General features: G+C 44.0%; 1 pseudogene across 1 annotated transcript in view, besides 1 other annotated feature; it reads left to right on the top strand.

Moving 5' to 3' along the window:
- The window catches only part of LOC100287072 (ribosomal protein S6 kinase B1 pseudogene), a 107,286-nt pseudogene that overhangs the window by 1,542 nt on the left and 93,797 nt on the right, over window positions 1-11,947 (top strand). The window lies entirely within an intron of this gene.
- Window positions 4,994-5,494: an enhancer, noted in NCBI's record as "H3K4me1 hESC enhancer chr17:20543293-20543793 (GRCh37/hg19 assembly coordinates)". NCBI's record gives its function as "activates a minimal SCP1, AML or CMV promoter by ChIP-STARR-seq in primed H9 embryonic stem cells {active_cell/tissue: H9 hESC(primed)}" and the evidence as "EXISTENCE:reporter gene assay evidence [ECO:0000049][PMID:30033119]".

Consider the following 11,947-nt stretch of genomic DNA (forward strand, 5'->3'; position numbering starts at 1 on the left):
GGTTTCGGCATGTTGGCCAGGCTGGTCTCAAACTCCTGGCCTCAGGTGATCCACCAACCTCAACCTCCCAAAGTGCTGGGATTACAGTCGTGAGCCACCGTGTTCGGCCTAGGAAGTTTATTTTTCAATGTAATGTTATTTGAATCTCTGTTGTCAAACTTCTAGTCCTAAGTATTTCACAGAACCCTCCTAGTGTCTTAATAATACACTGCTCTATAGGGCAGGCTTCTGTTTTGGTTCCTGATAGTGATATTTTGTGTCTTTTCTCTTTGCCTTAATTAGTTTCACTAGTGGTTTATTAAGTATATTAATATTTATAAGCCAACTTTTTTTTTTTTTTGAGAAGGAGTCTTGCTCTGTTGCCCAGGCTGGAGTGCAGTGGTGGGGTCTCGGCTCACTGCAAGCTCCACCTCCTGGGTTCACACCATTCTCCTGCCTCAGCCTCCTGGGTAGCTGGGACTGCAGGTGTCCACCACCACACCTGGCTAATTTTTTGTATTTTTAGTAGACACGGGGTTTCACCGTGTTAGCCAGGATGATCTCTATCTCCTGACCTCATGATCCGCCCGCCTCAGCCTCCCAAAGTGCTGGGATTACAGGTGTGAGCCACCGCGTCCGGCCTTATAAGCCAACTTTTAGCCTTGATTTGTTTCTGTTGCATTCTTTTCCCTATTTCATTGATGTCTACTCTTCATTACTTTAATTCTGCATTCTTTCATTTTGACTGTTTTTAATTCTTGAGAAGGAAATTTAAGTGATTGATTGTCAATGTCTTTTTCTATTCTAACACATTCCCTTAAGGCTGTAAATTTCTCTCTAAGCAGGGATTTATCTGACAGCCCATATTTTCCGTCAGATGTTTCCAAACCTTGTGTCTGCAGCCGCATTGACCTCCCAGTGTCTCCACCCTGTATCGCCTACAGCCATACCAGGCCTTGTGTGTCTCCATCCTCGTGCCTGAAGCCTGTATCTTCTCACCAGTATCACCATCCCGTAATGACTGAAGCCCATGTCTGCCCTTGTGTATTGTCACGTGGTCTGTCCTCTGCCTGCACTTTATGCCTCTCCATTTCTTGCTCCTGCAGCCCCTGCCAGCTGTGTGAGTCTCTATGCTGTGTGCTTGCAGCACATTGCTTGCCTTGAATGTTGTCATCTCCTCAGCCTTCAGGCAGTAGCAGTCCTCCAGTGCCTCAATCCCTGTGTTTGCAGCCCATTCCGATGTTTTTGTCTGTCTGTCCCCTGAGCTTCTGCCCATGCCAGCTTATGTTTGCTACATTCTCTGTCCCCCTAATCCATGTCCACAGTCAGTGTTTTCATCCATGCTTTTTGGGCCATGTCTGCACTGGTGTGTCTCCTTCCCCTGTGCCTTCAGCCCATTTCTTTCCTTTTTCTGGATCATTTCTCCCAGGAGACTATGCCCAAAACTTCTATCCCCAGTGTTTGTACCTGCAGCCAGTCTCTTTCGTTGGGTATCTCCATCTGTTGTTACTGCAGCAGAGGCCTGCCATTGAGTGTGCCTGCTTCCCATGCCTGTCTTCCTGTGTCTCCAGCCCTTGTCCATGCAGCCCACATTAGGACTCTTGTGACTCCACCCTTCAGCCTACAGCCACATCTCCCTTCGGGTGTCTTTATCTCTGTGCCCTCTGCCCACGCCAACCGTCACCTACTCCTCTTTCCTGCACCTGTACCCATGTCTGTCCCTGGTGTGCCTCTCTGCCATGCAGCTGTAGCCAGCGAGCTCCCTTTTTGTCTGGATCCCCTGTGACTGTAGCCCAGGTCTTCTCTCCTGTGACTACAACCCGTGTCTGCCCTTGAATGTCCCCATCCTCTGTGCTTGTCACCCGTCAGCCAGGCCTAGCATGTTTCCACTCTGTGACTACACCCATGTCTGCCTCCAGGGTCTCCACTCATGGTGCCACAGTTTGGTTCCTGGTCCCTATCCTCCTGGGGTGGATTCTGGCATTGTGTTGGGAGGGAGAAGGTGACCCATGAAAGGGAAGCCTGGAATGATGTAATGGGCAAGGAGGCTGCCATTCAGCAGGCTGCACAGTGGCAGAGAAGACATGGCCAGTCAGAATCCTCCCTGCATCGGGGCACTCACGTGGGTCTGTGCCTGGTGTGGGGAGTAAGGGGAAGCTGGAGCAGGAGGTTTGGAGCCACCTGGCCCTCTTGGGCCTGAGACCCTCCCAACTACAGGGGCTCCGTCACTTCCCCGGTGGTCCTGCCTCCTGGGATCCTGCCCTGCAGTGTTTCTGCAGGGATCCTCTCACCTGGAACTTGCAGTGGCGGGTTTCATGTGAGGTAGAGTTTAGCAAATGTTTATTGGCTTCTGTGCCTTACTTTTCTTCATATGCTTTGCGTATTTTGTGTGTTTTTCTAGGGTCCTTTTTTAATATTGATTTGAAGGATTTATCTTAAATCTGCACATTGATCCTTTATTGGCTCATTTTTGTCATAGATACTTGTTCTCTAGTTTGATCATTATTTTCTACTGGTTTCATACTAGTATATAGTAATCTGGTTGATAACAATAATGTATCCAGTAAGTTATTAATTGTAACAGTTTTGGGGTTTTCAGGGATTGTCTAGGCATGTAATAGTGTCATATACACATAATGACAATTTTTTTGGTTTAAAAATTAATCCTAATGCCTTTTTATTTCTTACTGTATTGTTTTCTCCACTACAATGCTGACTAAAGAGTGATAGCAGGCAGCCTAGTCTGTTCCTGCACTGGGGGAAAAAGCTTCCCATAATTCTCTATTAATTATGTTTTTGTTATTGGCTAGTATTAGACTTCTTCAGATATCAGATTTCATCAAATTAAGGAAGTTGCTTTTTTTTTTTTTTTTTTTTGAGATGGAGTCTCACTCTTGTCACCCAGGCTGGAGTGCAATGGCTCGATCTCAGCTCACTGCAACCTCCACCTCCCAGGTTCAAGTGTTTTCTCCTGCCTCAGCTTCCTGAGTAACTGGGATTACAGGCACCCACCACCATGCCTGGCTAATTTTTGTATTTTTAGTAGAGACGGGGTTTCACCATGTTGGCCAGGCTGGTCTTGAATTCCTGACCTCAGGTGATCCCCCCGCCTCTGCCTCCCAAAGTGCTGAGCCACGTGCCTGAGCCACGCTCAGCTAATTTTGTATTTTTAGTAGAGATGGGGTTTCTCCATGTTGGTCAGGCTGGTCTCGAACTCCCGACCTCAGGTGATCTGCCTGCCTCAGCCTCCCAAAGTGCTGGGATTACAGGTGTGAGCCATCGCGCCTGGCCAGTCCTCTTTTTATATTTTACTCAAGTTTTTTTGTGTGTTTGTGGTTCAGTTTTAAATTTTATTAAATGCTTTAAAAAACTTTTCAGCTAAATGATCTTACTATTTTCTCCTGTATTTTTCTGCTAATGGGATGACTTACACGATTCATTTTGAATGTTAAGGACCTTGCATTTTGGTGTATATTCCATTTAGTATTGATCTACTGTATTTTCATAGGTGACTTCATTCATATAATATTTTGCTTAGAATATTTGTAGCTCTGTTTTATTTATTTATTTTTGAGACAGAGTCTTGCTCTGTCGCCCAGGCTGGAGTGCAGTGGTGCGATCTGGGCTCACTGCAAGCTCCGCCTCCTGGGTTCACGCCATTCTCCTGCCTCAGCCTCCCAAGTAGCTGGGACTACAGGCGCCCACCACCATGCCCGGCTAAGTTTTTTTTTTGTATTTTTAGTAGAGACAGGGTTTCACGTGTTAGCCAGGATGGTCTCGATCTCCTGACCTCGTGATCCGCCCACCTCGGCCTCCCAAAGTGCTGGAATTACAGGCATGAGCCACCATGCCCGGCCCCAGCTCTGTTTATTAAAAAGGAGATACATACTGTTTATGAAAGAGGTGACATAATTTTGTTTATTTGTGTCCCATAATGTGTCCTGGTCCAATTGTGTCCTCAATGTAATGCCAGCTACACAAAAAATTTTTTAAATATTATCTTTATTTTCATTTTAGTGTTTTTCTTTGTATGGACTATTCTATAATTATGAGCTGGGAATTTTTCATTGTTCAGTTGTTTTTCTGATTTTTGGTAGACTGGACAAAAACCTGTGTTTCCTGACCATTTGCATCTCCTCTCCTGCTCTGTGCACTATCTCCCTGCTCCAGCTGCTTCCCGGAGCCTCCCTCCTTCCTCTCCACCTGCCCGCGTCCTCCTTGTCCTTCAGTTTCTTCCTAAGGGCCCATGGGCTTTCTTTGGCTTTTACGTTCCTCTCACTCCACCTTTGACAGTTGCTGGGCTTCCCATCCCCTGGGAGGTTTCAGAGGATGGGGAAGACAGAGGAGTGCAGTTGCCATGCAGTGCAATATGGGCCATAATGTTCATCCTCCACGGCCTGTATTGAGGACTTGCTGTGTGCCAAGAATCTGCTCTAAGAATGTAACTGTGCTCCCTCACTTCATGCTCATAACCACCTGTGAGATGGGCAATGTTCTCATCCACTTTTATGCAGAGAACACAGAGGCACAGAGGAGTTTCATAAATTGCTACCAAGGCCTTCCGCTGGTGTGCAGCAGGGTCAAACCCAGGCTGTCTGGCCCTGGGGTTCAGCCTCTCAAGTGCTCTGCTAGATGTTGGACAGGACAAACGAGACACAGAGAATGAACACCACCTGACTTGGGCTGGGGAAGTCAGGGATGGCTTCCTGGAGGAGGTGACAACCTCAGTGGAACCTTGAAGGAGGAGCAGGAGGAGCTGACCAGGCAATGAATAAGTATGTCCAGGAAAAAGGGAAGGCCTGAGTGATGCTGGGAGGCTGGAGAGCTGGCCTTGGGTGTGTGGCGGAGGGGGGCAGGAGATCAGGACCAAGGGTTTGGCCAAGGCCAGATCTAGAAGACTCGGGCCATCCCATAGTTGATACCTTATCCCAGGGCCAGGCAGGCCTTCCACTGCTCTGTGCGCACTGGTGGGCAGTGCCTCATGGGATGCTAGAAGCCTAGACCCCAGCCACCCACCTGGGCTCCTGAGACCCGAGGTGCAGGCACGGGGCTGGGAGGGGTTGCAGCTGATTTACATTCAACAGATTGAGGGGAAAACTGCAGGTGCCTCGCTGTCCAGATGGAACCCACCGCCAGATGGACCCCGGAGACAGCCTAGATTCACAGCCTTTCCCTGCTGCTCTGTCCCCACACCCCAGGCGGGGAGCAAATCTTTTCTCTGATCATCTTTTGTGCTCACCACCCATATCCCGGACATGTACCCGACCAGGGGCTCAAATACATACAGTTTCTGAGCGAGCTGGATAAGGCAGTGACCAGAGGCTGCCTCGACATAGGATGAAATTGCCCAGTGCTCTGGCACCACGAGTCGGAACCCAGCCAGAACTGTGACCTGGCAGTGGCAGAAGCTGTCTGGTGCTGCCAAATCAGCCCTGGCCAGTTGTTCATTGACCCCCTCTGGGACCTTGGCTGAGCCACTTCCCCTCAGCTGTAAAATGAAGAAGACTGTCTTTCCTATTAGATATCCCTCAAAAACACAAAAGTGCTTTGAACCTGCCAGGCTCCCTCTTGAAGAGTCACAAGAAAAGGCTCTGAGAAGTCCTGCAGTTAAAAAAATTTTTTGACTTTCTTTAACCCAACATTTTTCAAGCTAATTGACCACAGAGCTCTTTCTTGGTGCAACACCTGTTAACCGGCCAAGTGTGTGAGGAGGCACAAGTAGAGAGCTCTGAGAATCACCCTCCTTGGCTGCTCTCTGGTCTCAGGGTGCAGGAAAGAGTCTCTGTGCTACATCCCAGTCTGCAGTAGTTCAGGGTGTGAGCCCAGCCCACAGAGCTAGTGTCAGAGAGGAATTCCTTTTCTTCCCTTTCTGTTAATGGAGCTTCTCCCTCAAGCTTCTACTCCGCCTGGCTGGTGTCAGTCTTAGGGTTTTCATGCTCCTCTTTGGGCTTGATGGGGGTTCTGGGGTTTTATGTAGGTCGAGATAGTGGTAGAGGAGGAAGGGCATGGACAGCTTCTCTGATCAGTTGGGCATCTGCCATCGGGTCAGTCAGGCATTATCTCCCCCTCAGGTCCGGTGGCTTTGGTGGCTTCCAGGCCATGAATGGGCCCTGGAGCCTCCCCAAGGCTGCCCTTGTCACATAAGATCCACTGCCGGACTTACTCAGCCACTGCTTCACACTATGGCAGGGTGGGTGGTAGCTCCCTCCTTCTCCACTCCCCAGCCCAAACTGGGGGAGAATTAGGAGTCTGTTTTTAATTTTGTTTGATCCTTTGATTTTAGATTTGCTTTTGAATAGATAGTATAGTCAGATGGTTTGAAACTCAGAATGTATTGAAAGATTATTAATAAAGTCTTTTTTCCATCTTTGTCCACCAACTGCTCCCTTCTCGCCTCCCCTCGAATAAGCAGTTTTCTTAAGATGTAATTTCCATGCCATAAAGTTCACCTGTGTAAAGTGTACAAGTCTGTTTTTTAGTGTATTTACACAGTTATGCAACAATCACCCTAACTAATTTTAGAACATATTGATCACCCCAAAAAGAAACCTTGTCAATCTTCATTCCTCCCCTACCCTAGGCTACCACTAATTTATTATCTGTCTCTATAGATTTGCCTGTTTTGGACATTTTCCATAAATGGAATCATACAATATGTGATGTATTGTGACTAGCTTCTTCCATTTGGCATAATGTTTTCAAGGGCCGTCCATGTTGTAGCAGGTATCAGTACTTGCTTCAGTTTTGTGGCTAAGTAACATTCCACTTTATGGATATGTCATATGGCTTTTCCAGTCATCGGTGGATGGACATTTGGGTTGTTTCTACTTTTTTGGTCACTGTGATTGTTAACAATGCCTCCATGAATAATAATGCCTCCATGAACTTTTGGGTTCAAGTTTTGGGTGAACATGTTTCATTTCTCTTGAGTAGATGGATACCTAGAAGTGGAATTACTGGGTCATATGATAATTCTACATTTAGCATTTTAAGGACCTGCCAAACTGCTTTCCAGAGCAGCTGCACTATTTTATAATTTACTTCGTGCACGAGGGTTCCGATTTCTCCACATCTTCACCGACACTTGTTATTGACCATCTTTCTCACTCTAGCCTTCCCAGGGGGTATGAGATGGTATCTCAGTGTGGTTTGGGTTTGCATTTCCCTAGTGACAAATGATGTTGAGCATCTTTTCATGTGCTTGTTGTCCAGTCATGTGTCTTTTATGGTAAAATGTCTCTTGAAATTTGTCTTTTCGTTATTCTGTTATAAGCATTCTTTATATTAATATATTCTGGATACTAATATATTCTGGATACTCTTACTTAGCAATGAAGACTATTTGCAGTATGGGTCCAACCTGCGTTCCAGTTGGAATGTCCTAGTCACCTATGCATCCACCCCAACAAATACTGCCAGAGAGCCTACCATGCGTATATATGGCAGAGTCCCTGGCCTCAGGAAGCCCACGGTCTAGTCCAGACAGACGACACCACCCACGTTCTTTGAACTTCCACTTCTCTCTAGATTTCTTGAGCCAACTAACAACTCTCAAGTACTTTGCCTATTCAGTATTGTTTTTTACAGCCCTTAATTTCATTTTGCACACTACTTACTGTTGAGTTTTAGGAGTTCTTTATGTATTCTGGATATCAATCCCTTAGCAAATATGTGATTTGCAAATATTTGATTCTATTCTGTGACTTGTCTTTTTACTCTCTCAGTAGTATCCTTTGGTCCTATTAAAATTAAAACAAGTTATAATTTTCATGAAGTTCAATTTATCTAATTTTTTTCTTTCATTGTCTATGCCTTTGTTGCCATATCCAAAGTATCATTTCCAAATTCAGTTGATGGAGAATTTTCTCCTATGTTTTCTTTTAAAACATTTATAGTTTTAGCCTGTAGCCCATTTTGAGTTAATTTTTGTGTGTGGTGTCAGATAAGGATTCAGCTTCATTCTCATGCACATGGATAGCCAGTTTTTCCAGCGTAATTTGTTGAAGAGACTGTCCTTTTCCCCATTGAGTGGAATTGTTAGTGTTTTTTACATAGAAGATTATGTTGTCTGTGAACAGAGATATTCTTATGCTCTCCTTTCCAGTGTTTATACCTTTATTTCTTTTTCTTGCATAAGTGCTCTGGCTATGTTGAAGAGAAGTGACATGTGTGCATTCTGATCTCGTTCCTGATCTTAGGGGAAAGCTTTCACTCTTTCACCACTGAGAATGTTGTTAGCTGTGGGATTCTCAAATATGGCCTTTATCATGATAGGGAAGTTACTTTCTATCCTAGTTTCTTGTGTTTTTATCATGAAAAAATATTGGATTTTTTAAATTGTTTTTTCTGCATCAACTGAGATGAACATAGTTTTTTCTGTAATTTTTTTTTTTTTTTTTTGAGATGGAGTCTCACTCTGTCACCCAGGCTGGAGTGCAGTGGTGCAATCTCAGCTCACTGCAACCTCTGCCTCCTGGGTTTGAGCGATTCTCCTGCCTCAGCCTCCCAGGTAGCTGGGACTACAGGCACCCGCCACCACACCCGTCTAATTTTTTGTATTTTTAGTGGAGATGGGGTTTCACCATGTTAGCCAGGATGGTCTTGATCTCCTGACCTCATGATCCACCTGCCTCAGCCTCCCAAAGTGCTGGGATTACAGGCATGAGCCACCATGCCTGGCCTTTTAATTTTTTTAATATGGTGCATTTTACTGATTTTTTTTTATGTTGAACCATCTTTGCACTCCAGGAATAAATTCCACTTGGTTATGGTGAATAATTTCTTTGATATGCTGTTGGGTTCACTTTGCTAATATTTTATTGAGAATTTTTGCATCTAAATACTTAAGGCATATTGGTCTGTAATTTTCTTTTTTGTGATGGCTTCATTGGGCTTTGGTATCAGTGTAATGCTGACTTTATAGAGTGAGTTAGGAAGTGTTCCCTCCTCTTTGATTTTTGGGAAGAGTTTGAGAAGAATTAGAGTTGATTCTTCAAATGTTTTGGTGGGGTTCACTAGTAAAGCAATCTGGTCTTGTGCTTGTCATTGGTTTTTTTTTTTTTTTTTTTTTTTTGACAAAGTTTTGCTCTTGTTGCCCAGGGTGGAGTCCAATGGTACAATGTCGGCTCACTGCAACCTCTGCCTCCCGGGTTCAAGCGATTCTCCTGCCTCAACCTCTTGAGTAGCTGGGATTACAGGCATGTGCCACCACACCTGGCTAATTTTTGTATTTTTAGTAGAGACAGGGTTTCTCCATGTTGGTCAGGCTGGTCTTGAACTCCCGACCTCAAGTGATCTGCCTGCCTCGGCCTCCCAAAGTGCTAGGATTAAAGGTGTGAGCCACCACACCTGGCCAGTAGGTTTCTTATTACTGACTCAGTCTCCTCACTTCCTCACTAGTTGTAGGTCTATTCAGATTTTCTGTTTCTTAATGTGTCAGTTTTGGTAGATTGTGTGTTTCTAGGAATATGCCCATTTTATCCAGGTTATAAAATTTATTGGTATACTGCTGTTCATAGTATTCTCTTATAATCTTTTTTATTTTCATAAAATAAGTAATACTGTTTCCAATTTCACTTCTGATTTTAATAATTTGAGTCTTCTCTCTTTTTCTTAGTAAATTTCCCTTCTGATTTTGATGATTTGAGTTTTCTCTTTTTCTTAACAAATTTCATTTCTGATTTTGATAATTTGAGTCTTCTTTTTATTAGTCTAGCTAATGTGTTGCTAATTTTGTTGATCTTTTAAAGAGCTAGCTTTTGGTTTTATTGATTTTCTCTATTGTTTTTCCATCTGTATGTTGTTTATCTCTGCTGTAATCATTATTTCCATCTGCTAGCTTTGGGTTTGGTTTGCTCTTCCTTTTCTATTTCCTCAAGGTGTATAATTAGGTTATGATCTGGTTATGTTTCTTCTTTTTCAGTGTATGCGTTTACATAAACTTCCCTCTTCACATTGTTTTATTGTATCCCATAACTTTTGGCATGTTGCCTTTTCATTTTCCTTTGTCTCAAGATATTTTCAAATTTCCCTTGTCATTTCTTCTTTGACCAGTTGAAGAAGAGTGTGTTTAATTTCCACATGTGTGAATTTTCCAGTTCTCCTTCTGTTATTGATTTGTAGTTTTATAACATTGTGATCAGAAAAGATACTTTGAATTATTTTAAATTTTTAAGAATGTGTTAAGGTTTGTTTTGTGGCCTAACATGTGGTCTATCCTGGAGAACGTACCATGTGCACTTGAGAGGAATGTGTATTCTCCTGTTGTGGGGTAGAGTGTTGTGTATATGTCTGTTGTGTCCAGTTGGTTTGTAGTGTTGTTCAAGTCCTGTATTTTCTTATTGATCTGTCTGGTTGTTCTACTGTTGAAAGTGAAGTATTGAAATATCCTAGTATTAGTGTAAGAGTATTTCTCCCTTTCATTCTGTCAATTTTTAAAAATATATTTTGGGATCCTGCCATTAGGTTTATATAAATTTATAATTGTTATATCTTCTTGCTGTGTTCCTTTTTATTTTTATTTATTTATTTTAGATGGAGTTTCACTCTTGTTGCCCAGGCTGGAGTGCAATGGCGTGCTCTCAGCTCACTGCAGCCTCCACCTCCAGGGTGCAAGTGATACTCCTGCCTCAGCCTCCCAAGTAGCTGGGGTTACAGGCGCCTGGTACCACACCTGGCTAATTTTTTGTTTTTTGTTTTTTAAGACAGAGTCTCACTCTGTCACCAGGCTGGAGTGCAGTGGCGCTGTCTCGGCTCACTGCAACTTCTGACTCACTGGTTCAAGTGATTCTCCTGCCTCAGCCTCCCAAGTAGCTGGGATTATAGGCACATGCCACCATGCCCAGCTAATTTTTGTATTTTTGATAGAGACAGGGTTTCACCCTGTTGGCCAGGATGGTCTCGATCTCCTGACCAAGTGATCCACCTGCCTCGGTTTCCTAAAGTGCTGGGATTACAGACGTGAGACACCGCGCCTGGCCAATTTTTTGTATTTTTTAGTAGAGACAGAATTTTCACCATGTTGACCAGGCTGGTGTCGAACTCCTGACCTCAGGTGATCCACTCGCCTCGGCCTCCCAAAGGGCTGGGTTTACAGTCCTGAGCCACCTGCCTGGCTTCCCTTTGTTAATATATACCTTAACAATGTATATTTTCTCCCATTCTATAGGTTGTCTGTTTACTCTGTTGATAGTTTCTTCTGAAGACAGTGGAATACTGTGCAGCAACTAAAGTAGCCACCTAGCAGGATGTGTACCAGTATGGATACATTTTGAAAACACAGCTAAAAGCAAGGTGCAAGGGCATAATAGGCATAAGATGGTGAGGGATAGAGCATATTACCATGTTACAAACCCGACACTCTAAAAGCACAATATAGTATATATAACATTGTGTAAAACACTCAAAACACCCAGAACAATACTAGGCATTATCATGGATACATACATTATAGTAAAAGTGAAAAACCATTCAAGGGATGACCACATAGCAATTTTAGGATAATGCTTATTACTCTCTGAGGTGGGAGGGTACATTGAAGCTTTAAAAAATTCTTCCTAGATTAAAAAGATTTTGCAAGTGTGGCAAAATTTAACTTGTTAAGTCTGGGTACCTGTTTATCATTATTCTTGGTAGTTTCCTGTATATTTAAAATATTAACAATCAAAAATTGCACAGGTGGAAGGACTGTACTGTGCCACTTTTCTGCTTCTGGTATGCGTATGTTTCAGTGCTCTGTGCCTTCCACTGTGGTTCTCTATCAGGTTCATAGTGTATTTCTCTAAAGAAACATTGTAACTTACTGCTAAGTATCTTTTGGCTAAGGAGATTGAAGATCAGCCTTGCTTCAGGGGTGTTGTTCACAGCTTAGCCGCAGAGGGCGCCACCCCATAGCTGATGTGCGGTGGGGCGGCCACACCAGGCAGCCCTCTTGGTACAGGGCCAGTGCCTCCCAGGGAAGCACTGCTCC

This window comes from Homo sapiens, chromosome 17 (genome assembly GCF_000001405.40).
Source record: "Homo sapiens chromosome 17, GRCh38.p14 Primary Assembly".
NCBI classification, from domain to species: domain Eukaryota; kingdom Metazoa; phylum Chordata; class Mammalia; order Primates; family Hominidae; genus Homo; species Homo sapiens.